At 56.7% G+C, this 26388-nt stretch overlaps 1 protein-coding gene across 15 annotated transcripts in view, besides 8 other annotated features; it reads left to right on the top strand.

Moving 5' to 3' along the window:
* The window catches only part of CXXC5 (CXXC finger protein 5), a 36584-nt gene extending 28887 nt beyond the window's left edge, over positions 1-7697 (top strand). For 9 of the 15 annotated variants that reach the window (NM_001317201.2, NM_001317202.2, NM_016463.9 and 6 more), the window contains 2 exons: positions 4179-5262; positions 6678-7697. In NM_001317201.2, the coding sequence (NP_001304130.1) occupies positions 4339-5262; positions 6678-6722 (969 nt within the window). In that variant the 5' untranslated portion in view covers positions 4179-4338 and the 3' untranslated portion in view covers positions 6723-7697. Of the gene's footprint in view, positions 1-3661; positions 3756-4178; positions 5263-6677 lie in introns of all 15 variants that reach the window. The other 6 variants (NM_001317199.2, NM_001317204.2, NM_001317206.2 and 3 more) reach the window with 2 other exon arrangements.
* Positions 2589-3311: an enhancer, noted in NCBI's record as "H3K4me1 hESC enhancer chr5:139058359-139059081 (GRCh37/hg19 assembly coordinates)". NCBI's record gives its function as "activates a minimal SCP1, AML or CMV promoter by ChIP-STARR-seq in naive H9 embryonic stem cells {active_cell/tissue: H9 hESC(naive)}" and the evidence as "EXISTENCE:reporter gene assay evidence [ECO:0000049][PMID:30033119]".
* Positions 8759-9413: an enhancer, noted in NCBI's record as "H3K27ac-H3K4me1 hESC enhancer chr5:139064529-139065183 (GRCh37/hg19 assembly coordinates)". NCBI's record gives its function as "activates a minimal SCP1, AML or CMV promoter by ChIP-STARR-seq in primed H9 embryonic stem cells {active_cell/tissue: H9 hESC(primed)}" and the evidence as "EXISTENCE:reporter gene assay evidence [ECO:0000049][PMID:30033119]".
* Positions 13688-13797: a silencer, noted in NCBI's record as "silent region_16425". NCBI's record gives its function as "represses an Ori minimal core promoter by ATAC-STARR-seq in GM12878 lymphoblastoid cells {active_cell/tissue: GM12878}" and the evidence as "EXISTENCE:reporter gene assay evidence [ECO:0000049][PMID:35858748]".
* Positions 18579-18873: a silencer, noted in NCBI's record as "tiled region #3182; HepG2 Repressive DNase matched - State 8:EnhW". NCBI's record gives its function as "represses a minimal TATA promoter and a strong SV40 promoter by Sharpr-MPRA in HepG2 cells {active_cell/tissue: HepG2}" and the evidence as "EXISTENCE:reporter gene assay evidence [ECO:0000049][PMID:27701403]".
* Positions 21755-22724: an enhancer, noted in NCBI's record as "H3K27ac-H3K4me1 hESC enhancer chr5:139077525-139078494 (GRCh37/hg19 assembly coordinates)". NCBI's record gives its function as "activates a minimal SCP1, AML or CMV promoter by ChIP-STARR-seq in primed H9 embryonic stem cells {active_cell/tissue: H9 hESC(primed)}" and the evidence as "EXISTENCE:reporter gene assay evidence [ECO:0000049][PMID:30033119]".
* Positions 24199-25024: an enhancer, noted in NCBI's record as "H3K27ac-H3K4me1 hESC enhancer chr5:139079969-139080794 (GRCh37/hg19 assembly coordinates)". NCBI's record gives its function as "activates a minimal SCP1, AML or CMV promoter by ChIP-STARR-seq in primed H9 embryonic stem cells {active_cell/tissue: H9 hESC(primed)}" and the evidence as "EXISTENCE:reporter gene assay evidence [ECO:0000049][PMID:30033119]".
* Positions 24852-24931: an enhancer, noted in NCBI's record as "active region_23251". NCBI's record gives its function as "activates an Ori minimal core promoter by ATAC-STARR-seq in GM12878 lymphoblastoid cells {active_cell/tissue: GM12878}" and the evidence as "EXISTENCE:reporter gene assay evidence [ECO:0000049][PMID:35858748]".
* Positions 25025-25849: an enhancer, noted in NCBI's record as "H3K27ac-H3K4me1 hESC enhancer chr5:139080795-139081619 (GRCh37/hg19 assembly coordinates)". NCBI's record gives its function as "activates a minimal SCP1, AML or CMV promoter by ChIP-STARR-seq in naive H9 embryonic stem cells {active_cell/tissue: H9 hESC(naive)}" and the evidence as "EXISTENCE:reporter gene assay evidence [ECO:0000049][PMID:30033119]".

Genomic DNA, 26388 nt, shown 5'->3' on the forward strand with positions numbered 1-26388 from the left:
CACCTCCCCCCAAGCCCTCCTCCCCACCTCCTCCACAGTCCTTCTTGCCACCCTCCTCCCCACCTCCTCCACAGTCCTTCTTGCCACCCTCCTCCCCACCCTCCTCCCCAGCCTCCTCCCCCCAAGCCCTCCTCCCCACCTCCTCCCCAGTCCTTCTCCCCACCCTCCTCCCCAGCCCTCCTCCCCAGACTCCTCCCCACCCTCCTCCCCAGGCCTCCTCCGCAGATTCCTCCCCATCTCCTCTCCAGCCTCCTCCCCACCTCCTCCCCAGCCTCCTCCCCACCTCCCCCCAAGCCCTCCTCCCCAGGCTCCTCCCCATCTCCTCCTCAGTCCTTCTCCCCAGTGTCCTCCCCACCCTCGTCCCCAGCCCTCCTCCCCAGACTCCTCCCCATCTCCTCCCCACCTCCTCTTCTCAGGCCTTGGGCTACACAGTGGGTCTGATCTGGTCTCCTCGCCACTTCTCCTCTACCCTTCCCTCTGCCTCCCTCTCCTGTGGGCATGCCCAGCTGCCTTCTGGGATTCCCTCCTTAGGGCTGTTTCCTTGTCTTTTAGACCCTCAAGTCCCTGAGCCTGGACAAGGTGTCCTGGGTCCCTGGGTCTCTGAACCCTGTTACCCCAGACACTGCTTCCCATGACACTGTCTCCACTAACCTTGACCCTCTGCCCCTTCCTCTCCAGCTCCCCTTTTCTCTGATCCTCCCCTCTAGTTCTCTGTCTCATGATTCTGTCCCCACCACCTGTCTCTATTCTGCCCCCGCATGCCCCTCTGCCCCCCAGCTTTCCATGACTCGTCCCCCCTCAGCCCCCCGTGCTCTGTCCCCGCCCGTCAGCCCCTGGTCCCAGCTCCCGGCTGGCCGGCTCCTGCATGGACAAAGGGGTCCTTTGTGGGCTGACCGCGGCTGGCGGGGCGGCGGGGCGCTGGCTCCGCATTGCTGATGAAACGGAGCCCTTTGTTGTCCCTCCTCAGGCGCAGTATTTCTTTTTGGGGGCTGGATGTGTTCCTGGCAGGGCCGATGATGGATGCGCCCGCCGCCGCCCGCCTGCCCGCCAGCTTTCCCTCCCGCTCATTCCCGCTCCGCTTCAACGCAGCCCTGACTCCTCCCCTGCTGCCTGGGCACTGCCAGGCCCTTCCTGGCCTGGAAGGGGATGGCTGTGTGCCCTAGAGTAGAAGACTGGGACCTGGGAGAACGTCCCCTCTATGTCCTCCTCTTCCATGAGTAGGGCAAATGGGGCTTTTGGTCAGGGGTCCACTGGGACCAGGACATCAGTTTTTCCTAAGGTCTGAAGGAGAAGATGAGCCAGGTATCAGGGCCGATTTGGAACAAGCTTGAGGACCAGATGTTCATGTCTGTCTACTCTGGATTTGAAAACAGAGTTGTCCCTGTGAGCCAGTCCCTCCGTGTACCCACCTCCCTTCAACTTCTGTGGCTGAAAAACCATAGTGTTCTGCCTGCAGCACCTGTTTGGTGACATATCACATCCTCTGGTCCCAAGCTCAGTATGTCCCAGGACCTCAGAGGCTGGGGGTGGGTGGGCCCTGAAGAAGGATAGAATAGTGGAAGATCAGAGAAATTCCAAGAGAGGAACAGAACATGAGGTTTGGTCCCCACCAGGAGAGACTCAGGACGGAGACAAAAGCCGAGACACTCAGCCAGAGCGCCAGCCCTGAGCGCAGGCCGGCTGTGTTGGAAGGAGCTGACTTCTAATTGACCTGCCCGCCCCGCACGCAGAGCCAGATCCTGGAGCTGGGAGGAGGGAGGGGGTGAGCAGAGCAGGAACAGCGTTAATGCAGCTATCGATTTCTGCCACCAGCCAGCAGGCCGCAGAGGCGGGGGACGCACACAGGGGCTGGGGCGCAGCCTGCTCCCCTCCCCATCTCTGCAGCCCACAAGACACCTGCCTTCTGCCTTCTCCCCTCACCCAGTATCTGGGCTGCCGGGGTTGTCGTCCAGGGCAGGGCAGATGAGCTTAGTTGGGCAGGAGCTGGATGAGCTGACTTGACGGTTTTTGTCCCTGATCTCACTGACCCTGGTCCCCAACAACTAGCCAGGGTCACTGATTCCTGAAAGGGTCACCAGTCTCTGAGGAGAGGGGCTGAAAAGACCATCCTGGTCTTGGCCGTTATGAGGTGGGAGGGAACACAGCTATCCTTGGACACACATGGTCTTCTTGCTTCAGCTCTGACCTCTGATGCCCCCCAACCCAGCCTGGATTCCCTGCCAGGGCCCCCCGGCTCTGTCCTGGTGGAATCTGCCATCTTGCCCAGCTCTTCCTCCTCACCCATTTCCCTCTGCTAGGAAGGAGCCCTAGGTGGTCTGGTGCCCACTGGGGAGGGACAGGGAGTATCTGACTGTTGATGGCGGCTACTCGCCTCACCCTAGAGACAGAGCTTTTCCTTTCCCCACACCCGGTCCTCTTTGGCCACTCCTTAGTCCTGGGGAAGCCCCCCCTCCCCCCCGCTTGGGGCCTCAGTTTCCCCCTCTGTAAATGCAGAGGGTTGGACTAGATGCTCTCTTGGGACAGGCTTGAGTCCTGTGACTAGGGGGGTTTTGGGGTTGCCTGGGGACAAAGATCCAGTGTGTGCTGCCCTCAAGCCCAGGGCGTGATGGGGCCCGCCAGATGTGCGCCTCCCCCTTGAGCCTCCAGCTGCTCTGGGGCTGGGCCCTGTCCTCCCACCCCTCTCTTGGGGCATGCTAGGCCACAGCAGGCAGACAGGGAAGCAAGGCTGGAGAGCCGGGACTGATGAGGAAACCGCCGCCTTGCTCCATCTGGCCCAGTCCCTTCAGCTGAGGAGGCAGCTCAGACGCCTTAGCCTTGAAACCTGAGTAGAGCAGGCCCTGCCCCGGGATGGGCTGCCTTGGAAATATGGAGGTGGCCAGAGGACAGGCTCCTGCTGGGCTCCATTCCCTTGAGGGTCACGCCTACTCCTCAGTGCCAGCCTGCCCCAGCCAGAGGTCCCTCCTGGCAACAGCCCACCCCGGCTCTCTGGGTTCTCACTGAGACCTCCACCCAGGCCCTACTCTGCAGGCCTTGTGAGGCCTCTGCCCACCACCGCCCCCAATCTGGGAGCCAGGCCAGAGCACCACAGTGAGGCCTGAGTAGAGACAAGAATGAGGTCTGAGACGATAATGATTGTGGTTCGGGGGTTGAGAAGGAAGCGTGTGCCAGGGTGTGCACAAGCATGTCCTCTCACTGTGGCAGGGGACGGCTGGTCCTCTGGCCCTGTGCTGCTCGCCCTGTAGCAGGCGGGGAGAAGATCCCTGAAATAAGGGTTCTGCACTCATTGGCAAACTGGGTTACACAAAGGCAACCAGGTTCCTTTGCCTGCAGGACATGTCAGAGCCTTGAAATAACTGATGTGTATTAGTAATCCCCAGATGAGGATCCAGGGGCAGCCTTCCAGACTTAATGATCTGTACCATCAAGCACTCTTCTCCTCAGATGGAGAAGGAAGATTAGGATGTGGAGGTGGTTTTTTTCTTATTTTTATTTTTTTGACAGGATCTCACTCTGTCATCCAGGCTGGAATGCAGTGGCATGATTATAACTCACTGCATCCTCAACCTCCTGGGCTCAAGCAGTCCTCCCACCTCAGCCTCCTGAGTAGCTAGGACTACAGGCATGTACCACCACACCTGGTTAACTTTTGTATTTTTTGCAGAGATAGAGTTTCACCATGTTGTCCAGGGTGGTCTCAAAACTCCTGAGCTCAAGCGATCTGCCTGCCTCTGCTTCCCAAAGTGCTGAGATTACAGGTGTGAGCCACTGCACCCAGCTAATAAGCATCTCCAACACTCTCCCACCCCAGCACAAGAAGGACTGCCTGCTTCTGGCAGGTCTTCCTAGACCCTAGCAGAGCAGATTTGGGCTGTGGAGGCCTGGACTAGGGCCTCCACCATGCCGCTTGGTGGCTGTGTGTTCATAGACTGGTAGTTCTCCTAAATCTTGTTTCCCTCATCTATAAAGTAGATTACCAGCCACTGCTTCTAGAGTTCTTGTGGGTCTTAACTGAGATAGTACAAATAAGAAATTTCTCACCAGGATGGATCTGGTGCTTAATAAATGCCTGGTCAAGCACATGGTGGTCAGGATGACAGGACCGTTGATAGTGGCGGTGGTGGCGATGTTGAAGGGGGAGGTGTTCACTGCTGCCCTGACCCTGTATCCTCTTGTGACAGAGTGAAGACATTTCCACCTGGACACCTGACCATGTGCCTGCCCTGAGCAGCGAGGCCCACCAGGCATCTCTGTTGTGGGCAGCAGGGCCAGGTCCTGGTCTGTGGACCCTCGGCAGTTGGCAGGCTCCCTCTGCAGTGGGGTCTGGGCCTCGGCCCCACCATGTCGAGCCTCGGCGGTGGCTCCCAGGATGCCGGCGGCAGTAGCAGCAGCAGCACCAATGGCAGCGGTGGCAGTGGCAGCAGTGGCCCAAAGGCAGGAGCAGCAGACAAGAGTGCAGTGGTGGCTGCCGCCGCACCAGCCTCAGTGGCAGATGACACACCACCCCCCGAGCGTCGGAACAAGAGCGGTATCATCAGTGAGCCCCTCAACAAGAGCCTGCGCCGCTCCCGCCCGCTCTCCCACTACTCTTCTTTTGGCAGCAGTGGTGGTAGTGGCGGTGGCAGCATGATGGGCGGAGAGTCTGCTGACAAGGCCACTGCGGCTGCAGCCGCTGCCTCCCTGTTGGCCAATGGGCATGACCTGGCGGCGGCCATGGCGGTGGACAAAAGCAACCCTACCTCAAAGCACAAAAGTGGTGCTGTGGCCAGCCTGCTGAGCAAGGCAGAGCGGGCCACGGAGCTGGCAGCCGAGGGACAGCTGACGCTGCAGCAGTTTGCGCAGTCCACAGAGATGCTGAAGCGCGTGGTGCAGGAGCATCTCCCGCTGATGAGCGAGGCGGGTGCTGGCCTGCCTGACATGGAGGCTGTGGCAGGTGCCGAAGCCCTCAATGGCCAGTCCGACTTCCCCTACCTGGGCGCTTTCCCCATCAACCCAGGCCTCTTCATTATGACCCCGGCAGGTGTGTTCCTGGCCGAGAGCGCGCTGCACATGGCGGGCCTGGCTGAGTACCCCATGCAGGGAGAGCTGGCCTCTGCCATCAGCTCCGGCAAGAAGAAGCGGAAACGCTGCGGCATGTGCGCGCCCTGCCGGCGGCGCATCAACTGCGAGCAGTGCAGCAGTTGTAGGAATCGAAAGACTGGCCATCAGATTTGCAAATTCAGAAAATGTGAGGAACTCAAAAAGAAGCCTTCCGCTGCTCTGGAGGTAACGGCGCCTTAGAGGGAGGTGTGTGGGCTCTTGTGTCTGTCTGGCAGTCCAAACCCACCCCCATCCCCTGACCCCACTTTTCCTACCTGGGCAAGTGTCTGGGGGATGCCCCCTCCCAGTCCTTGGGGCCTGGGGGTCTGGCTTCAAGACACCAGTTTACTGCCCCAAAAGTCAGAGCCACATTCTGAGAATCCTATCAGGCCATAATTTGCAAGGCAAGCATAAAACTCCAGGCAAGGACCTAGCATTCTCAGCCAGGCCCTGGGATTCTGATTCCTCTCCTGGGTTCTGGGTCAGGTATTGAGATTTCCATACAGGTCCTAAGTTTCTGATGCTCAGACATGGCCTAAAGCATCCAGTCCATGACCTAGAACTCTGGGTCTCTCCCCTGCCCTGTTTAAGGGATTCTGTTTCACGGGCCCTGTGCCCTTAAGCCCTTCATTTGCCCCTCCAGGGCCATCTTTCCCCCAAGGCCACCCAAGGATAGAGCTGTTCCAGTGCTGGGTGCCCTGCTCTGAGGCCTGGAAGGACCCTTGGTCTGGGCACCTAGTTGACAGATTTTTGGGGCTGGGGTAAGGGGAGGTGACCATGAGCCCGGAGTGGACAAGAACCTAGCCACTGTAGGATTGGCTTGGAGAAGGCAAGGGGTTCCCATGCTGCTATCTCTGCACCCCTGTGGCAGGGCCCGTCCCTGTGCCCCCAGATGCAGCAACCTAGCTGGAGTGCCAGGCCTGGGTACAAAAGCATCTTTTCAGCCTGCAGTCCCTGCCCTTGTCCCCGCCCCTCTATGAGTGGGCTTGACGCAAATGTCCAGAATGGTTGGAAAACAACAGTGGTATATCCCAGCCATGGCCTCCTGGTTACCCTCCCCCAACCCCAGCCCCAGCCCCAGCCCCAGCCCCAGCCCTTCCATTTCTGCTCTCCTATGTACACACAAAGGCACCCACTTTAGTCCAGTGTAGACACACATGCACACACACATAGACACGGCCGCTTGAGAAATAGCTCAAATACCCACCTCCCACAGCTCCATACCACACAGCTCAGCATAGCACGAGGCACACACCCATATGCACACCCGTCGCACGTGCTCACACGCTCATTTACAGAAACATGCCACAGCCACCTGGCGCTGTTGCCTTTGGGCCAGGGGAAGGGACTTCTTCTCTGGAAGGAGGGTTCCTGGGCACAGTGGCTCAGGAGGCCTCAGAGTCCTCGGGGCCTTCCAGCAGCCCAGCAGGTCAAGCGCCTCCTTTGGCCTGGCTGGGGTGGCAGGAGCTCCGAGGGGTGGCTGCTCTTCCTCCATGCCTGTCCCTCCGCCATGAGGCCATCCATGGGGGAACGTCTTTGCTCCAGGCCTACCCGGACCCTGACTGAACTCTCTCCTTGTTTTTGTCTCCCGCCCCCGCCAGAAGGTGATGCTTCCGACGGGAGCCGCCTTCCGGTGGTTTCAGTGACGGCGGCGGAACCCAAAGCTGCCCTCTCCGTGCAATGTCACTGCTCGTGTGGTCTCCAGCAAGGGATTCGGGCGAAGACAAACGGATGCACCCGTCTTTAGAACCAAAAATATTCTCTCACAGATTTCATTCCTGTTTTTATATATATATTTTTTGTTGTCGTTTTAACATCTCCACGTCCCTAGCATAAAAAGAAAAAGAAAAAAATTTAAACTGCTTTTTCGGAAGAACAACAACAAAAAAGAGGTAAAGACGAATCTATAAAGTACCGAGACTTCCTGGGCAAAGAATGGACAATCAGTTTCCTTCCTGTGTCGATGTCGATGTTGTCTGTGCAGGAGATGCAGTTTTTGTGTAGAGAATGTAAATTTTCTGTAACCTTTTGAAATCTAGTTACTAATAAGCACTACTGTAATTTAGCACAGTTTAACTCCACCCTCATTTAAACTTCCTTTGATTCTTTCCGACCATGAAATAGTGCATAGTTTGCCTGGAGAATCCACTCACGTTCATAAAGAGAATGTTGATGGCGCCGTGTAGAAGCCGCTCTGTATCCATCCACGCGTGCAGAGCTGCCAGCAGGGAGCTCACAGAAGGGGAGGGAGCACCAGGCCAGCTGAGCTGCACCCACAGTCCCGAGACTGGGATCCCCCACCCCAACAGTGATTTTGGAAAAAAAAATGAAAGTTCTGTTCGTTTATCCATTGCGATCTGGGGAGCCCCATCTCGATATTTCCAATCCTGGCTACTTTTCTTAGAGAAAATAAGTCCTTTTTTTCTGGCCTTGCTAATGGCAACAGAAGAAAGGGCTTCTTTGCGTGGTCCCCTGCTGGTGGGGGTGGGTCCCCAGGGGGCCCCCTGCGGCCTGGGCCCCCCTGCCCACGGCCAGCTTCCTGCTGATGAACATGCTGTTTGTATTGTTTTAGGAAACCAGGCTGTTTTGTGAATAAAACGAATGCATGTTTGTGTCACGAAGCACCGCTGGCTTCTTGCTCTCCGGTTTTGGGGGGCTGACTTGGGGGCCGTTCCTGAGCAGGGATTGTCTGGGACCACCTGGAGGAGGAAGAAGGATGGCCCAGGGACATTTAGAATGGGAATTTCTTGGGGAAGAGAGGCCTCTGGATCCAGAATGGGGGAGAGCAGGAGCAACCAGCCCAGCAGACAGGAGGGAAAGGCTCTTAATCTGGAAGTCACTGCCTGGTTGCACCCCATGCCTCAGAACCTGGACCTCCAGGGACCTTCACTCACTTGGGGCCACCTCTGTTCACTCACCTAAGTTCATCAGGGCCTGATGAGTAAAGCAACCAGCACCACGAGGCAGGTGGGGGTAAGGCTGAGCTGCCTGTTCAGGGTCTTCTTTCTTTCTTTCTTACCTGGCAGGGATCTAGTGCTCCCGCAGCCACCAATGTCATTCTCCAGGGAATAGTTTCAGCTCGGCTTCGTGGGGACCTGGCTGTACACACACGCCTATTCCTCTTTAGGCCTGAGGGCTGCTAGGCTGAGTTACGGGGGTGTCCTTGGCTTTGACTGTCCCCACTCTCAGAGGGTTTGTTGGTACAAGGCTGCTGGGGACCTCAGAGGTCAAATGTCTGGGGAAGTCACCACACAGCCACATGGTCTGGGCCAGGGCAGCCTGAACAGGAAGGGGTGGCAGTGGCATGCCCCTCCCTGTACATCACAGAGGCCAACCTGAAGGAGGAGGCTTAGCCATCCACTGGGGGAGCGTTCTTCTCACCCAGCTGCTTTGAGCCTGGCTGAGATGGAGGCTAGACTTCAGGAAGGACTTCCTGACAGTGTTGGGCACTGGCTTCAGGTGGGTGAGAGCTGGAGCGATTTCTGAGGCTGAGTGGGCAGTGAGGTGGGGGAGATGGGCTATCTCTGCCATTGTCCTGAGAGGAGAAAGCAGCCATGTTGGGTGGGGGTGGCGCTGACCCCCAACCCCTTCCCAGGTGTCACAAGCTCCCTTCGAGCGCCAGGGCCTCAGCAGCCTGGCCTGGCACAGCGGGGGCAGGCAGGGGCGGTGGGAGGCAGCTTTCAACTTCAGCTCTGCCTGGGAAAAATTCCCTTTCATGTGGCTGCCTGTGATCTCTCCAGGCGGCTCTGCCGAAGGGGGGTGTCCAGCAGGGAGTAGGGGGAGGTGTTGCAGCTGGGGGGCACCCTCACCCCCAGCACAAGGCAAACAGCGGCACCTCCAGAACCTCGAGGAGGGTGGGGAGGGTCCTCCTGTGGGGAGTGGGGGGAGCCTGGCCAGCAGGGGGCACCGGGCAGGAGGCCCCTTCCTGCCTCCGCCCGCTGCTGGCAGCACACAGGCTGCAGATGGCCTCAGCCGGCCCTCGTTGGCACACCTACAGGTGTGGGGTGGACGGCTCTGTTGCCAGCCCAGAGGGGGTGCTGTGACTCAGCCGGCCTGTACCTTTCAGTGTGCCAACCCACAGCCCAGCGTGTCTCCTGAGCCCACTCCCCAGCACACGGCCGAAACTCAGAGCTCCTCACCTGTTCCAGCTTCACACTGCTTTGTGGAAATGGTAAGCCAGCCCCTCTGTTTGGAGGCCAGGGGTGGGGACAGCTGTGAGGCTGGCTGAAAACATGCTGAGGACTCAGTTACCTCATCTGGGAAACGGGACAATAATTGTTTCCCCCATAAAGTTGCCTGAGGATGAAATGCGATCACACTTGGGAAGGGCCTGACTTGCAAGCTCTGTCAATGGCAGCTGGTGTTGCTATTTTTAAACTATTATTCACCTAAATCTCACCAAGATGTCCCTCACCTTCTGCCTGGCTGTGTGTCCTCCCTGAAGCCCTGGCCACCCCCACCTCCCACCTCCCACTTCCCACCTCCGTAGAGTGACCCAGCCTCTGGCCCTTCCCCTACCTGGATGCAGCCCGACCCCAGCCTGCACCAGCTTTCTGTCTCTCTGGCTCACTCTCTGCATGTCCTGAAGGTCTCTTTCGGTCCCTGACGCTCCTGTGTCTTTGGGTCTCCATCTTTCCTGATCTCTAAGCCTCTCCGTGTCTCTGGGTCTCTGCCCCTCCTGTCTCTCCATCTCTGTATCTTGTACTCTGTCTGTTGCAGGCTCACCCCTGCTGTTCCCCAGCTGACGGAGACTTCCTTAGAGGCAGGCTCCCTGGCAGGGTTGTGTACCCAGCTCCCCTCCCCTCAGGTGCCCTCACCTCTCCTCTGCTACAGTTGGGAAACTGACTTCCTGGTGACCCAGGAGCCTTTCCTCCAGGTACCCTGTACCCTGACCTGGGTGATCTGGCATTTAGAGCCAGCTCTAGACACAGAACGGTGGGGGTTTGAGAGGCTGGGTGCACACACTGGGCTGGAGAGAAGTCCAGCCTCCAGGTAGCCCCTGCGTGGACGTGTGTGTGTGTGTGTGTGTGTGTGTGTGTGTGTGAGTGATGCTTTAAGGGCCTGACAATTGTGTGAGGCTTTGTGCAGTAATGTGGCTATGTGTGACATCGGGTGTGATATGCAAATGGGTTTGTGACAGTTTATTGGAGACTGAGATGTGAATGGGTTAGTGTATGTCAGTGGCCACACTTTGGAATGTTCTGTGACATTGCGTGTGTACTCTTGTGACATTGTACAGTTCTGTAACAGACCCAGTGTGATACCGGCTTGTACAACTGAATGTGTGACTTTGGGTGATTCTGTGTGAGTGTGTGACATTGAGTGATTCTATGTGAGTGTGTCACTTTGGGTTTACAACACACGTGGCATTGCGTGACCCTGTGGCAAAACTGGGTGGTTCAATAAGTGTGTGACTTTGTGTCTGTGTGGCCATCATGGATGTGGGCTGGGACTGACCAGGGATTGTGTGTGTGTGATGTCTCCGTGTGACTATAGTGTGACCCTGTGATGCTGCCTGCATAACCCTGGGTGTGTGGTCATGGCTTTGTGTCAGTGTGCACCTGTGATCCTCTCAGTGTTGCTGACACTATTGCCTTGTGTGTCTGCCTCCAGCACTTCCTGGGTCTCCGCCCTGAAAGCCTCTCTAGGGAGAGAGTGGGGGATCTGACAGCCCCTCTCACCTGCAGCCTGTGCCCTCGCATGGCCCTGAGGCCCAGTCTGGATGGGGGAGCTGGCGTGGGGGCAGCAGGCGCAGTTCCCACGGCCGCTGCGGCCCCTCTCCCAGCCCCATCACCACCGGCTTCAACTCCACAGAATATCCTGGCAACCCCGGCCTCTTTGTTCTCTGAGGCCGCCAAAGGCCTCCCCCAACCCCAGCCTGCCCAGCGCCTGCCAGGCGCCCCCTCCCCCGACAGCAGCCAGTCTTGGCCTGACCTAGTCTCTAGCTGCCTTTATCCCCCACCCAGACTGAGGCGCCTGTCCCATGCCCTGGACCTGACTCAGGACTCCAGACGAGGCCTTTGACCCTCTGCTCTGAGCTTGCTGTGGTTGCGCTGTGCAGGAAGAAGGAAGAAGGATAGGTCCTGTGGCTGTACTGGGTGATTGTGGGCCAGGAGCTGGGCTGTCTATACGAGTACTTCCCCTTGGCCCAAGGCTGGTTGGAGGCCCAGGGTTGGTTTCAGTTTGTCCAGTAAGTTTACTTCTTTGGCCCCCAAAAGTCATCAGGACAGAAATTATTACCCATTTTATTGGTAAGAAACTGAAGCCTAGAGAGGGTATGTGACTTCCCCTATAGCAAGAGCAAGATGGTAGCAGGGACCTGATTAGAACCCAGGCTCCTGGCTACCTTGAGAGAAAAATCAGGTACCTCCAAAAGAATGGAAAGGGGGCCTGGGAGTCTGGACACATGGGTCCCTGCTTATTTCTTGGTCACCATGTGTCAAAGCCGTGTGTGTGTGTATGTGTGTGTCCTTGCTAGATGACCTTGGCCAGGTGCCCTTACCTCTCTGTGTTCCAAGAAAGAAGGACAACATAGCCAGGGGTTGTGGGGTGGTGAGCTTGACAGGGTGCTTTGCAGAGCCAAAGGTCACCTCACAGTTAGTAGTGCCAAGACCCACGCCATCTCCAACAGGCACAGATTCTGGCTCGGGGCCCCAGCCACCATTCCCAGGCTCAGCCCAGCTTTGTACTGCCACAAAAAAGGAGGCAGCGATGGCTACATGGCTCGGCTGTAGTCAAGGCCACTTGGGTCTGACTTGATTGCAGCACAGGCTCCCACCGCCTCCCAGGTGCCAGAGATGGATGGATGGAGGTCACTGCACAGCCTGGCCCCAAGCCCCCCCCCCGCCCACCCGCAGCCCTGGGCTGACCAGCCACTGCTGAAGACAGTCAGCCAGGGTTAGGGGAGGGACAGGCAGCCACCAGCATGGTAATAACCCAGACCTTGGCCCTAACATCCTGCAGGCATGGCACAGAGAGGCCCAGCTGTCCCCTAGGGTCACACAGCCCTGCAGGGAGTCCTGTCCCCAGAGGCCCACATCTCCCTTGAGGGCTGTTCCTGCCATGCAGGAGTAGAGAATGGCTGGAGAGGGTGGTGGAGGTGCAGGAGGGTCCCCTGAGGCTGCCGGCCAGGCTGCCAGTGCAGACACTTTCATCTCTTTCTGCCTGTCGACCTGCCATCTCTCAGTGGCATTAAATTCCCCTCCTGCCGGAGAACAAGGGCTGCCTCAGATTCCAAGCAGCAGGGTGTGAAGATAGGGCGGGCCCAGAGGAGGTGAGCCGGGTCCTCCAGGGCTCCAGGCCTGGGTGCAAAGCGGCTGGACTCTCGGGGCACAGCTGAGGGGTCCAGGTGGCCGCCTACCGCAGCCTCCCAGTGCTTCGTCAGATGCTGCTTCGTTTCCTGTTGCCATCTCCCACCTGTATGATGCCTTCCTCCCGCCTTCGGAGCTTTCTTGTCCCTTGCAAGCTGGGTCAAGTGTCCCTTGCCCCCCGCCCCCCACCCCCAGCCCATCACAACACTGGTCATTCTTGGTGACATCACCTGGCCTCAGGGCTATGGTCTGCAGCTCAGTAAGGGCAGCGCTGGCACCCAACACATGGAAGGGGTAGGAAACATCTGTGGGCTGAGGAAACACATTCTCTCCTCTTTCTGGACATTATTTTTCTCTCACGCATTTCCAGCCTAACTGGGGAGCTGTCCACAGGTAAGGGAAACTTACTACAAAGAGCCTCCTTTCTCCAGTCCCTGGAGCCTCCATACCCCTTGGCTAGAGACCTTAAACAAGATCCTTCTGCTTCAAGGCATAGAGCCTGTGGCCTGTGCACCAGGGACTGGGCCATTCCATTGCACTGACACACTCACAGCAACCTATGAGGGGGGCTTTAGGCGGTTCTCTCCATTTGACAGATAAGAAAGTTAAGGCTCAGAGAGGTAGCGAGACATACAAGGTCACACAACCAGGTTCGTCTGCTTTCGGAAGCTAGCCCTTAAGCACCTGGCCATGCTGCAGGCTTTGGCTGGAAGGACCCCCTCCCCCATCCCACAAGCTGCCTGTGATCGTGCCCAGATGTGGGATTAGGGTTGAGTATTACTTACTTCCTTAAACTTGTCTGCACTTCTTTTTGTTTTTTGTTTTTTTTTTTTTACCTTTGCTATTCAAATTGGAATACCGAATTTATTAATACATTTATTTAAGTTATTTAACCAAATGTTCTCAAGCCCAGAAAGGTCTGGAAACAAAGGGCACAGTATGGAGCGAGGATAGGGGATTAGGGGGTAACCTAGGATCACCGCCCCCTCCCCTGCAATGACAGGGCGTGGGTATTTCGGGGGCCCGAAGTGGGTACAGCCTGAATCCACAAAGGCTCCTGCCCACCGCTCCCCCTGGTGTCTTCCCACCAGGCTCCCAGCCCCTCTTCCAGCTTTGAGGCCTGCCCGGGAGGGGCACCCCCTGTGGCTGTTTTGGCTCTGCAGCAGTGGGTCCACAGGCAGCTGCTGGGAGTCTTGGGGAGCGGCTGCAAGGGTGAGGGCGAGCAGTGGCCGCTGCCGTTGATAAGGCGACGGAAGCCTCAGGAGCGAGGACGCAGTGAAGCCATGGAAACACGGCTGAGGTGTGAGGCTGGCTCAGCCGCTTCCCCCAGGTGGCCACCTCCCAGGCCTGGCGGGGCCCCGCGAGACAGGTCCTGCCACTGGCTGCCTCGCTCCCTGCCCTCCTGGGGGCCAGGTCTGGGCTGCTGACTGGGCTAGCTTGGTGTCACCCAGCCATCTCCCCAGGGCCAGGCTGGGGTCAACCCTGGGTCTGAGTAGGGAGGGCTGAGGACAGTGGCAGGGGCCTTCTGAGTTCTCAGGCCCCAAAGCCCCCTTAGCCTGGTCAATCCCTCCCCTTCTACCACCTACTCCTTTCCTATAAATATGTGTGCATTATTTACCTTAAGCATTTTGATAAATCATAATAGCAGAGACATCTGCTGTCAAAACTGCAAACTGCATTTGGGGCTCAGCTGGTGAACGATGAGGGCTAGAGGCCAGGGATATAAGGGCTCTGATGGCCTGGGGGAAAAAATAGGGATGACCCCACCCCTCATCCAGGGCTGGGCCTTGAAGGGGACCCAGGCCCCATCCTTTGGGACCCCTCCTCACCAGCCACTTAATCACAAAACCCTCCCAAGGAAGCTATCCACCACGCCCCAACTGTGTTCCCTCCTTCCTGCCTCCCTCTGCCTCAGAATTAATGCAGCAGTGACAGCGGCTGAGAAGTCCCCCAGAGCGGAGATTAACTCCCAGGGCAGCGCGGGCGGGGTTGGCCATGGGAGGCTTGGGGGTGGGGGGTCTGACGCACAGGCCTGGCAAGATTAATCACCCTGCAGCCGGCCTCATCACGAGGGCGCCCAGAGCTCCGGGCCCCCACCTCGAGGAGGGGTGCTGGGTCGAATGTCAGGAGTCTGCTCTGCCTCCCGCAGCCCTCATGGCCCCCAGTCCAACTCGTGGGAGGATTCTGGGAGCTGAGTTTCCTTCTCTTCCATTTTGCTGGCCCTCAGGGACCCTAAGGACCGAGCAGCAATCCCGTGGTCTCATTCCCTCCCCCAGTTTCTGGCCTGGCTCAGCAGCCCTGCAATGGGGGAGGCTCTGACCCTTGCCTCCCTGCCTACTTCTTGCTGTCCCCACTGGCCCCGCTCCCATGGCTCCCCGAGACTGCCAGTTCCCTAACATAGAGCTAGAGGTGGGGGCCACTGAAAGAGGTCCCTGGACCTGCTGTATTTATTTGGGGGACTCAAAGAGATGTGTGATGGATCCGATGGCTCTGGACCTGCTATCCAGCCAGCCCTCTTGAACTGTCCTGGGGGGCTTGTGGAGATGGTGGAGAGAGATACAGAGTGAGTGGGCAGATACAGATGAGGCTACTGGGTGATAAAGCACTGGGGTCAGTACCTGGGAACTGGCCTTTGTCAGCCAGTCACTCACTTAGAAAGTCTTTGAGGGGTTGCAGCAAGTGGAATTGAGCTTAGACATGAGAATAAGGTTCCCCAGGCAGGTGGGACCTAAGAGAGGCTGAGCTGTTTTGCACAGAAGACTTCTAAGGTCAGAGTTGGCCTTGACTCTGTAAGTGAGAGCTGGAGTACCCTCTTCTACGCACCCACTGCCCTAAGTGCTCCCATCACAATCCTGCTGGGGTCACACTGGGTGAACTCACCTGTTCACTTGCTGATCTTCTGAACTAGAAGGAGCACTCCTGGAGGGAGGGGCTTGTCTGCCTGGCAAATGCCAAATGCTCAATAATGTTGAATCAATGGATGAATTGGAGGAGGACATGGGTTGGCCTGTTGTATATGAGGGGCTGGGGAAAGAACTGTTAGGTCTGAGCTTGGGGAGCCCAGCTGCAGGGCCACAGGCTGGCGAGTGCCAAGAGGAGGCCCCAAGAAGTTCCAAGAGAAAAGGGGTTCTGGAGCCAGGCACCAAGTGGACATTCACAGGCTATGTGACCTACAAAGGCTTTCCTTTCTGGGCCTTAGTTTACTCATCAGCAAGTAACATTGCTTTTCAGATATCCTATGAAGGTGGAATGAGAAATCCTGTGTGAGGTCCCTGTGAGCTCTCTAGCCTTGTACCCCTTGGTAGGCAAGAGATTTGAATGCATGGGAAGAGCCAAGAAGGCTTCTTGGAGGAGGTGAGTGAAGCTGAGCCTCGAAGTACCATGCTGCCTATCTAGGAGGCTTGGAGACTGGTACTTCTGGGGCAGTGAGGAGACCACACTGGAGAGAGCCCAGGGAACGATGGGCCAATCTCAAGATCCAAGGCAAATGGGTATATTTTGTCTTGGGGACAGTGGGAGCCAATGATGGTTCTGGAACCTTTGGCCTTTAGGCTTTGGAGGGGCTAACATGTATCTGGAGTGAAGCCTTTAGTCAATCTGGGTATGTGGGGCAACTTCCCAACCCCACTCTGGGGCCCTGAGACTGAGGTAGGAAGTCAGCTGGAGGCTGATTCCTGACATATCTCCTTCCAGAGGAACCAAAACATATCCCATGTTAAAAAGTGGAGGGCTGGGCCGGGCACGGTGGCTCATGCATGTATCCCAGCACTTTGGGAGGCCAAGGTGGGCAGATCACCTGATGTCAAGAGTTCTTGACCAGCCGGCCAACATGATGAAACCCCATCTCTACTGAAAATACAAAACTTAGCCAGGCGTGCTAGTGCACGCCTGTAATCCCAGCTACTCAGGAGTCTGAGGCAAGAGAATCTCTTGAACCCAGGAGATGGAGGTTGCAGTGAGCCGAGATCATGCCACTGCACTCCAGCCTGGGCGACAGAGCAAGACTCTGTCTCAAAAATAAAGTGAGGGGCTAGGCTTGATCACAAGTAATCTGTTAGTGTGGGGGCCTTGAATACTCATTACAGGATGGGGAATCCAAGTCACAGAATGGCCAGGCCGGTCAGAGAGCTTCGGGACCCACACCCTTCCTGGAGGTGGGGATAAGGGGACATCTGGCCTCATGCCTAGCCTAGAAGCAGCAGAGTCCTGGGCTGGGAGGCAGGGGGATAGGATTTCCATCCAAGCCCTACCCATAGCTGGATTCATGATCACATGACCAAAGGCATAGCCAGCCCTTCCTGAGCCTAGCTTTCCCAATTAGTGCAATGGACCTTCCAGTATCAATCAGCCACGGTTCTAGACCTTTTCTGGGGGTCCAAGACTCAGGAGGGAGCTGCAATTTGGGGGTCCTTCACTCTAGCCCCTCCCCCACCCACATGCTGGGCCCCTTCCCTTCTCCTGCTCTTCCACCCATACTCCCCTCACCCCTGACCCTGCGGCCAGTAGCCTCTGCTGCTGTCATCCGTTGTCATGGGAACCTTGCAGCGCTGACCTGATGCAGGCGAGAGCTGGCCTGGAGCTCCTAGCAAGGGAAGCTGAGGTTAGCAGGGGGCAGATGGGGGCACCTGTCCCTGCCAGCTTAGCTGGGTGCTGACACACTCCCAAGGGAATGGGGCATTGAAAGGACGGCCTGGATGGGTGTGGGCAGGGGTGCAGGGGGTCAGGGCCTGACTGCCCCCAGTCATTGGGGTGCCTGCTCCTTTTCAGACCCACCCCCACCCAACCCGGCTCCAGGCTGCTGGTGGGAGGGAGGGGTGGTGGGGACCTTCCCATTTCCCTCACTGTCGATGGGAGCTCAGAGCCCTGAGCTCAGCTCATTCTCGAGACTAAAAATACTAGGGAGGCAGCAGCAGCAGCTCCCCCAACACCCTGTCCACTGCCGCCCCACTCCCAGTAATAGACACACACACATACACACACCAAGCCCAGCCTGGACCAGATACCAAGGTGCTACTTAACCATACTGTGCCGTGGTCCATGGAGATTCCCAAAGTCCTGGCCCTGTGTGAGACCCAGATCTGGGGTCAACTTCCACCTCTGACCCCAATTTGCCATGTGATTGTGGGGTAGTCCTCTGGCTTCTCTGGGCCTGGTTTCCCCTTTTTTTGTGTACTAAGGGAGCTACATGGAAGAGGGGAGGCTCAGGAATGGAGTAGAGGGTCAGGGCCTTAGCTGCCCCATCTCATTTAATTACTGGAGCAGTCCTGACAGCTCCCTGAAGTATGTATTGAGTCAGAATCTGCTTTTCCTAGATGAGTACACTGAGGCCAGAGATGGTGGCTCAAGGGATGCTACTCCAGGCCTTTGAGCTCCAGGTGGCCCTCTCCTGCCCTGCAGTGGCCAACTGAGCTACTGAGACCTCCAGGCATTTGTTGAAAAATAGATCTGTGCCCCACAGTAGGGCAGGAGGTTAGTGGCTTCAAATCTCAGAGAAGTTCCCGGTTCTGTGTGCATGACTGGGAATGGGGTGGGGAGGCCGTACTGCCCTCTGCCCAGGGTCTGGGTGAAGCTTGAGGTGAGTGTTGACAATACCTGTCTGCCAGGTGCTTGGCCAAGGCCAGGGTGAGGGTCCACACTGACCATCCAGGATGGGTGTGGTTGAGATACAGATGAGTATCCACACTGTTCATTTGGCCAAGGCCTGGCTCTGTGTGAGACCCATATTGTTCATCTACCTGGGCTTGACCAAGGCTGGGGTGAGTGTCCATGTTACCTGCCTGCCCAGCCTGGCCGGGGCTGGGTTGAGGGTTTACACTGCCGGGTTGGAGATAAGGTCAAGATGATTAAACACACCGTCCATTTGTCCTGGGCCTGAGTCTTCTTTCCACCAGTTCTAGGCTCAGGATTTTATTTTGGGTTTCATATTCTCTCTTCTTTCCTGGAAATTAGAATCATCTTGTCTGCTCATTATTTCTGATTTAGAGGAGGCCCAGTTTCATCTAGGGGCCAATGGGAGAAAGATGGGAGCCCCTTGCCATTTCTGGGACCCTCCAGGAGGAACCAGGGAAAATCCATTATAGAAATCACAGCCACTGGGCACTGAGAAGCCTGGAAAGCCAGACCCTGGCCTCTGGGATGCCTGAGAGATCCACTGCTGTGGGATCTGAGTCACTGAGTTCCTACACTTCTCCCCACTAGCCCTGTCACCCAATTCCACTGACATCTTGAGAACAACAAGACATACTTCTCCCACAGACCCGAGGCCTCACAGTTTGAAGCCAGTATCTGCAGGACCAGAGTCTGGATTTTCTGAGGGGGGCCAACCAATACTGCAGTGCAGACAGTGGACTTTGTGCCCCACACCCTAATTTTGCAATGCCAGCTCTTCCCTTCAGCTGTCATGTGTGACCCTGGGCAAGACACTTCATTCTCCTGGTTCTCAGTTTTTCCATCTGTAAAACAGGTGTTTATACCTTACCTGTTGGTAAAGGTTGGGACAAGGATTAAATGAGATAGTCCCATAAAGTGTCTGGCAGAGTAATAATTCTTTCTGGAGGCTAGCAGGGAAGGGGCATGCTCCAAAAGAATTCTGGGACATGTGGTTGGTTGGTTTTTTTTTCAGAGGCAGGGTCTTGAGCAGGCTGGAGTGCAAATAGCATGCTCACTGCAGCTCACTCTCAGGCTCAAGCAATCCTCCCACCTCAGCCTCCTGAGTAGCTGGGACTACAGGCACGTGCCACCATGCCCAGCCAATTTTTTTAATTTCTGTAGATATGGGGTCTTGCTATGATGCCCAGGCTGGTCTCGAACTCCTGGGCTCAAGTGTTTGTTCTGCCTCTGCCTCCCTAAGTGCTGGGATTATAGGCATGAGCCACCACAATTGGGCATTTGTTTATTAATTAGTGCAGTGCAGGGAGTTGTGTTGGTTGCTGGGTCTCAGGGCCTATAACCCCAGCTGGGATCCCCTACTTTGAACTAGGGGCCTCCAAAACAGAAGCAATGTCCATTAGTTTTGTGAATGTGTTTTCAGTCCATGAATGGATGCTCTTAGGTAAAACATTAATAAACTGCATCACGTTGTTGGGGAAAATTAAATGTAAATTAGATAATTAAAAACGAAGCTGATGCCCGCTGCTTGGTGCTATTACCTCTTATTAAAAGTTATGAGAGGTGGCCCTGGGTGGAGGCTGGTTGCAGGGTTCCAATGAGGGTGGGGGCAGCAAGGGCCTGCCTACTGGAGCCCAGTGTGATCTTTAGAAGAGGCAGACCTAGAGGATGCTCTGGTATGGGCGCTGGAGAGCTCTGGGTGTGCTGGGGCCACAGCCCTGTTGTCTCTTGTGGGTGCCTGGGTCAGTGTCTTCCCCTTGCCAAACCTCAGTATTTCCTTATCTGTACAGGAAGGATAGTAACAGAACCTACCTCATAGGACTGAGGCAGAGACTAGATGAGATGATATGCAGAAAGTACCCAGCCTAGTAGATCATCTTAGGTCAGGAGTTCAAGACCAGCCTGGCCAACATGGTGAAACCCCATCTCTACTAAAAACACAAAAATTATCCGGGTGTGGTAGCATGGGCCTGTAATCCCAGCTACTCAGGAGGCCGAGACAGGAGAATCGCTTGAATCCGGGAGGCAGAGGTTGCAGTGAGCCGAGATTGCATCATTGCACTCCAGCCTGGATAACAAGAGTGAGACTCAGTCTCAACAAAAAAACAACAAAAAAAGAAAGTACCCAACCTAGGGCCCGGTACATAGTAGGTGTTCATTAAATAGCCTTGATTGCCAGGGATATCATCAACACCGTCATCATGACTGAGTCCCTTCCAGCAGCTGGCCCTGAGCCGAGGGCTTTACAGATATCTGTCACCATTAGCACATGGTGCTGTCGTCCCATTCTGCGGAAAGCAAGGCTCAGGCTAGGGGAATAAGAGTCCAGGGTCACACAGCCTTTGAGGTAGGTGGCCTTGCTGTATTTCAGGTTCCTAGAGGAAGAGCCCTAGGAACAGCACTCCCACACAGTGCTCTGCTTCTCGAGCTGAAGAGGTTTCATTGACTCCTTTTTTCTGCACCTGCCCTGTGCTCCTGGCCTGGTCCGGTAGCGGGACGGGGGCGATCAGTCTGGAGAGAAGACAGCCCCAGGAACTAAGTCCCAAAGGAGTGTTCTAACCAGAGCTTGTGGGAGATAGACGGGCCTCCTTGGGCGGCGGGGGGCTGTGACTGCGGACTGCCCCGAGGTGCGAGCTGGTTCAGTGTTCTAAGAAACTGAGAGAATGGAGGATGGGCAAGGCAGGTAGCAGGACCTGCAGGAGCAGAACGGGGAGGCTGGAAAGCCTGGGGCCAGGCCTGTGGTGGGCAGGGGAGGGTGCATGATGAGGGGGTGGGAACACGGAGCGGGTGAGTCACCGTTTCTGGGCCAGGCAGGCGGCGGCTGCAGAGCGGGGGGCGCATTCCTGGCTGGCAGGGCGGCCGGCACTAATGTCTTTCCCACATGGCCCCGAATTCCCCGCTCGGCACGATCACACGGGCAAGACGCTCCCGCGGCCACCCCCGCCCCAGCTGCCTCCTTCCCACAGAGCAGGGAAGGGGGAGGGAGTGTGGTGGAGGCTGGCGGAACCGGCCCCTCCTGGGGCGGGGTGGGGGTCTCTAGCGTGGCCTCCCTGGGGCCTGCGCCCACGGTGTCGGCACGCGATGAGCGACTCACAGGGCAGCTGCAGTCACAGTGAGAGCAGGGCCGCGCTTGTGAAGCGGAGAAGGAAGGAGGCCGGGAACCGCCTTGGGTCTTTGGCCACGTCTCTCCTTCCCTGGCCCCCATTCACCCACCCCCGCCCTGGGTCAGGCTTTCCCTCGCGCTGCGGCTGTCGGAGGGCCGCGGCCGGATAGGGACAAGCGGCGGAGCAGCAGCAAGTCCGGCCGCCTCCGATCCTACGCCTTCTGGCCCTCCCCTCCTTCCCGACCTCTGGGCCTGGCTGGTGGGGGGCGGAGTGGGGAGTGGGGGGACTGTGCCGCTGCCGCTGCATCCGGCGGGGGCCTGCTGGGGTGGTTCCTGGAAGAGGCCACACCCAGTCCCTCCCTCCGTGGGATGGAGGCCAGCCCTTGCTAAGGCGAAGGGAACTAGGAGCGCCGCTCTCCCACGCAGCCCCTGTCCCCAGGCCAGGTCCTGGAGAGGGGGGAAACTGAGGCTGCTGAGAGGGCGGCCCACCCAGAGCTCCCTGTGCTGGGAGAGGTTGGCCGCTGTCCCTCCCAGCTGGGCTCAGAGGCGCTAATGAGAGTTAAATGTAGGACGTGAGTCACCTCTAGGAGGGGGCTGGGACCACCCCCAGATGTGGGTCCAGACGCTCAGGCTTTTTCCTACTCCCCTGTGTGTCACCCCCTACCCTTGGCAGGGTGGGGCATGAGTTCTGACCTTGCTGACCAGGCTCTGTCACCCTGGACCAGCCTCACTTAAATGGCTGGCTGCCTCAGGAGCGGGTGCTGTGGGACCACAGGAGACTCTAAATCCCGGGATAGGCCCAGTGGACCCTGAGGACTTAGGGGATGGACCAACACCTGGGGTCTCTAGTGGCCGTGAGCCCTGGGGTGTGGTCATGGGTCTTGGGATGGGGGTGGGCAAAGGGCCCAGGCCACCCTGAAGATTTCCCCACCCTTCTGCCTGCCTGGCTTTGCTCAGGCCACGAGGCTCTGACCACACAGGGTGCCTGTTCCCCCACTCCCCAAAGTCCCACTCTCTGACCTTCAGCCGGCACAAGGACCTCAGTCTGAAGTCCTTATGGCAGGGCAGGCAGTTTGTGTGTGTGTGTGTGTGTGTGTGTGTGTGTGTGTGTGTGTACACACGTGTGCCTCTGCGGCTGGGTCTATTTGTGCCGCTGTGTGTATTTATGACTGAATGTACAATCGTGTATATTTATGTGTGACTGGCTGTCTCTGAGGGGTCTCTCAGTGTTGCAGGGGGCTTGACAGGGAATGTGCATTTCTGCGTCTGTATCTGTTTGTTCCTTCTATGTCTACATGTGGGTCTTTCTGTGTGACTGTGTTTGTGTCAGCCTGGCCCCATCTATGGGGTCCCTGCCTCCTCAAGCACCCCACCATCACCAGGAGCCACAGGCATCTGGGAGGAGACTCGGGAGGTGAAGCGCCTGCTGTTCCCCAAATGGAATGGCTTAGCTGGGTGGGCAGCACCAGGGGGTGGGCGTGGGCAGCCACAGGAGAGAGAAAAGTGGAGGCCGGGGAGGAGCCCTACTCAGCAGTCCCCTCCCTGCTCCCTCTGCTCCCAGCTCAGCGCCTCCTGGCAAGAGCTTATTTGCATGGTATTTACATTTCATTTGCATCGTGTTCAATTAAAAACCTGACCAGCTCCCGCCTGCCTGGCGCTGCCCGCCCAGCCTGGTGAAAATGTTGGTTGGGCATGACAGCCTTCCCACACCCCCCCCACGCCCCCACGGACTGACCGATGTGGGAGGGGTCCTCCCCTCATTGAGATCATGCAAGTCACCCACTCTGGGAGTGAGAGGGCTGGAAGTCCAAATGGAGAAACTGAGGTCCAGAAAAGGCTGCCTTGAGCTCTAGGCTAAGGGCCAGTCAAAGCTAGAAGAATACTAGTAGTTAACAGTTGCCCCTTCATGGAAGAATCTCTGTGCCAAGAGTGGTGCCAACACCTGGTGTGCAATATCTCTTTGGAACTTTGCTACCCCTTGAGGTCAGGCCTTCCTTGCATTATCCTCATTTTCCTGATGAGAAGACCAAAGGCTAGAGGGGCAAGTCCAACATCACTCAGCCAACCTAGAATTCAAGTCTCTGTCAGTATGACTTCCAAGTCCATGCTGCAAACACATGAGCATGGCTGCCAGAAGACTGGTGCCTCCTGCTTCTGGCAAGTGAACACAACTCATTATTTCCAGGGTCATTGGCTCCAGGATGGGCTGCTGCAGTGCTCACCCTAACCTGGAGGCTGGCCTGGCTGCTGACTGCTTCATAAGACTGAGAGCCATACCCATTCCTGGCTATAGGGTGGAAGGCTCTCCCTGTGGCAGTCCTTCCTGGCACCTGGCCGTAGTCTTTCCTATTCCAAGACTGCCCTTCCTGGGCTCTAGCCAGAGTGGGTAACTTTGTAAAAGGCAAGTAAAGACTCTGATAACGAAACAAACTCTAGGAGGAAGCTCATATCTGAGCTAAAAGTGAAGGATGGGTGGAGAGACGAGATGGGCCCATGGAGACATCCAAGGCACCAGAGCAGGCCTGGCAGGGAAAACTCCCAAGACCTCTCCTGTCCTAGATCAGGAAGCTTCCTGAAGGCCCCTCTCACCTAGCCAGAGCTGGGCTGCTGTTTGTCATCTACACAGGTGGAACTCTTAGCATTGGGGAGAAAGTGGGGGTCCTTAGGCTGCCCATGGAGGGGTCATCCAGGGTCTAGAATCCAGCCCTGGGACTAGGGCACCCTGGTGTTGACAGGCCCCCAGTGCCCACCCTCCTCTGGAAGGACTACCTTTCACCTCTGCCACCAGCCTTAAGGCTCTAGAGGGACTCTACCTACCCCTGGTGCTGAGGGACTAAGCCAAGCAGCTAACTCATCCTCCCTGACCACAGTGATTGGTTCAGAGATGGACATGTGACTTGGGCCTGACCAATCAGGCTGAATCCCAAGGTTTGGTTAGAAATACTGGGAAGAGGCCGGGCGCGGTGGTTCTCGCCTGTAATCCCAGCACTTTGGGAGGCCAAGGCGGGTGGATCACGAGGTCAGGAGTTCAAGACCAGCCTGGCCAACATGGTGAAACCCCGTCTCTACTAAAAATACAAAAAATTAGCCGGGCGTGGTGGCCTGCGCCTGTAATCCCAGCTACTCCGGAGGCTAAGGCAGAGAATTGCTTAAACTTGGAGGGGTGGAGGTTGCAGTGAGCCGAGATTGTGCCACTGCACTCCAGCCTGGGAGACAGAGCGAGACTCCGTCTCAAAAAAAAAAAAAATTACTGGGAAGAAGTAGGGGTTCTCTGATCTGGTAGTGTGGGAATCTGGGGCCACCTACCTTTTGAGGAGAGCTACCCATGAATGAAGCCAGCAAAGGGATACTGACCCTTTTAAACTTGAAGCCAAACACTCTTCTACTTGAGCCTTAGAACGAGCCAGTAGGGTCCAATTTTGCTTAAGCCAGTGTGTGTTGGCTTTTTGTCATTTGCAGCCTGAAGGTCTGACCAGATAGTGCATGCCTTGCCCATTTCACCTTCAAGCCTTTGTCCATGCACTTCTCCTCTGCCTGGAATCGGAGAGCCTTCCTCTTGCCCTCTCCTGACCAGCCATGCCTGTGTTTTGAGGCCCAGCTACTCTCCTCCAGGGCGCTGGCTTCCATGCGGTACCCTCCTCTTTTGGCCCCACCCTCCTGGAGAGTTACCTGGAATTCTGACCCCCAGCTTGGTGCTCAGTGTCTATGCCTACAACTGCTGTGTTAATTTCCCTTTCTGGGGGCTTGTATCACACAGCCCCAAAGTAGGTTGTAAATTCTTGAGTGGCATGAGCTGAGTCCCCTCCTACAGAGAGGGGTGATAAAGTACAGTGGTTAGAAGCTTGGCTTTGGCGTCAGGTAGTCTCAGCTCAAATTCTAGCCCATCGGTGTGACCTTTGGACCAGTCTCTCCTTTTCTGAGTTTCCTGTCGGTCCACCCCCCCCAGTGCCGAGGGCGCCACTGTGAAGCATTCACAAACATACTCTCTGCCCTCAGAGGAGCTAAGGATGGAAGTTGGGGCAGTGGCCCCAACCGGGAGCAGCCAATCAGGAGGCTGAGGTGGTCCTTCCCAGCCTGCCAGCACTCGGCTCTTGGGGGAAGAACCCCCTCCACCCTCACACACTTCCTTCCAAGGCGCTAGGGGACCTTGGTCGGGGGAGGTCTGGTCGTCCCCTCCCCCTTCCGCCCCTTCCTGTCGTCCCTTCGAGCTGGCGCTGCTCTGAGTTAATCTCCTTGCCCGTCAGGGGGTGACAGGAGGTGTCTGTCATTCGAAGCTGAGGCCGTCAGCCTTGCCGGCTAATTGGGGCGCGGGCACCAGGAGCACGGGAAATGGCCGGAGGGAAGGAGAGGGAATGAGAGGGGAAGCCACCCTCACCTCCTACCCACCAGCTTGGGGCTGATCCACATGGCTACTTAGGGGAGGGAGAAAGGAGGAAGGGACTGTGGGATGGGAACTTTGTGACCTTGGGCATTGCTGTTCCTCTCTGGGCTTCATATTATCATTCATAGTGATAACAGCAAGCCTTTAATGAGCAATTACCGTGTAAATCAAGCACACCTGATGAAAACCTCTGATTTTTTTTTTTTTGTTTTTTTGTTTGTTTGTTTGTTTTTTGTTTTTTTTTTGAGACGGAGTTTCGCTCTTGTTGCCCAGGCTGGAGTGCAATGGCTTGATCCCGGCTTCCTGCAACCTCTGCCTTCCGGGTTCGAGCGATTCTCCTGCCTCAGCCTCCTGAGTAGCTGGGATTACAGGCATGCGTCACCACGCCCAGCTACTTTTGTATTTTTAGTAGAGACAGGGTTTCTCCATGTTGGTCAGGCTGGTCTCAAACTCCCCACCTCAGGTGATCCACCCGCCTCAGCCTCCCAAAGTGCTGGGATTACAGGCATGAGCCACCGCACCCAGCACCTCTGATGGTTTTCTACAGCCCTTGGAATTCAAGCCAGACTTCTCCCAAGGTCCTTGAGGACCCCCAGTAGCCATGCCTCTTTCCTCCCTGCTCCTTCTGCTCCAGCCACTCCAGCCTCCCCACAGAGCAAGCTCTTCCTGCCTCAGGATCTTTGCACTTGCTGTTTCTGCTCTGTGGAACACCCTTTGCCTACCTCTTAGCATGGTTGGCTCTGCATTCTTCAGGTCTCAGCTCAAATGACACCTCAGAGACAAAGTCCCTGACCACCTTATCCAAAATCACTCTCTTGGCCGGGTGCGGTGGCTCACACCTTTAATCCCAGCATTTTTGGAGGCCAAGGCAGGTGGATCACTTGAGGTCAGGAGTTTGAGACCAGCCTAGC

This window comes from Homo sapiens, chromosome 5 (assembly GCF_000001405.40).
Source record: "Homo sapiens chromosome 5, GRCh38.p14 Primary Assembly".
Taxonomy (NCBI): Eukaryota; Metazoa; Chordata; class Mammalia; order Primates; family Hominidae; genus Homo; species Homo sapiens.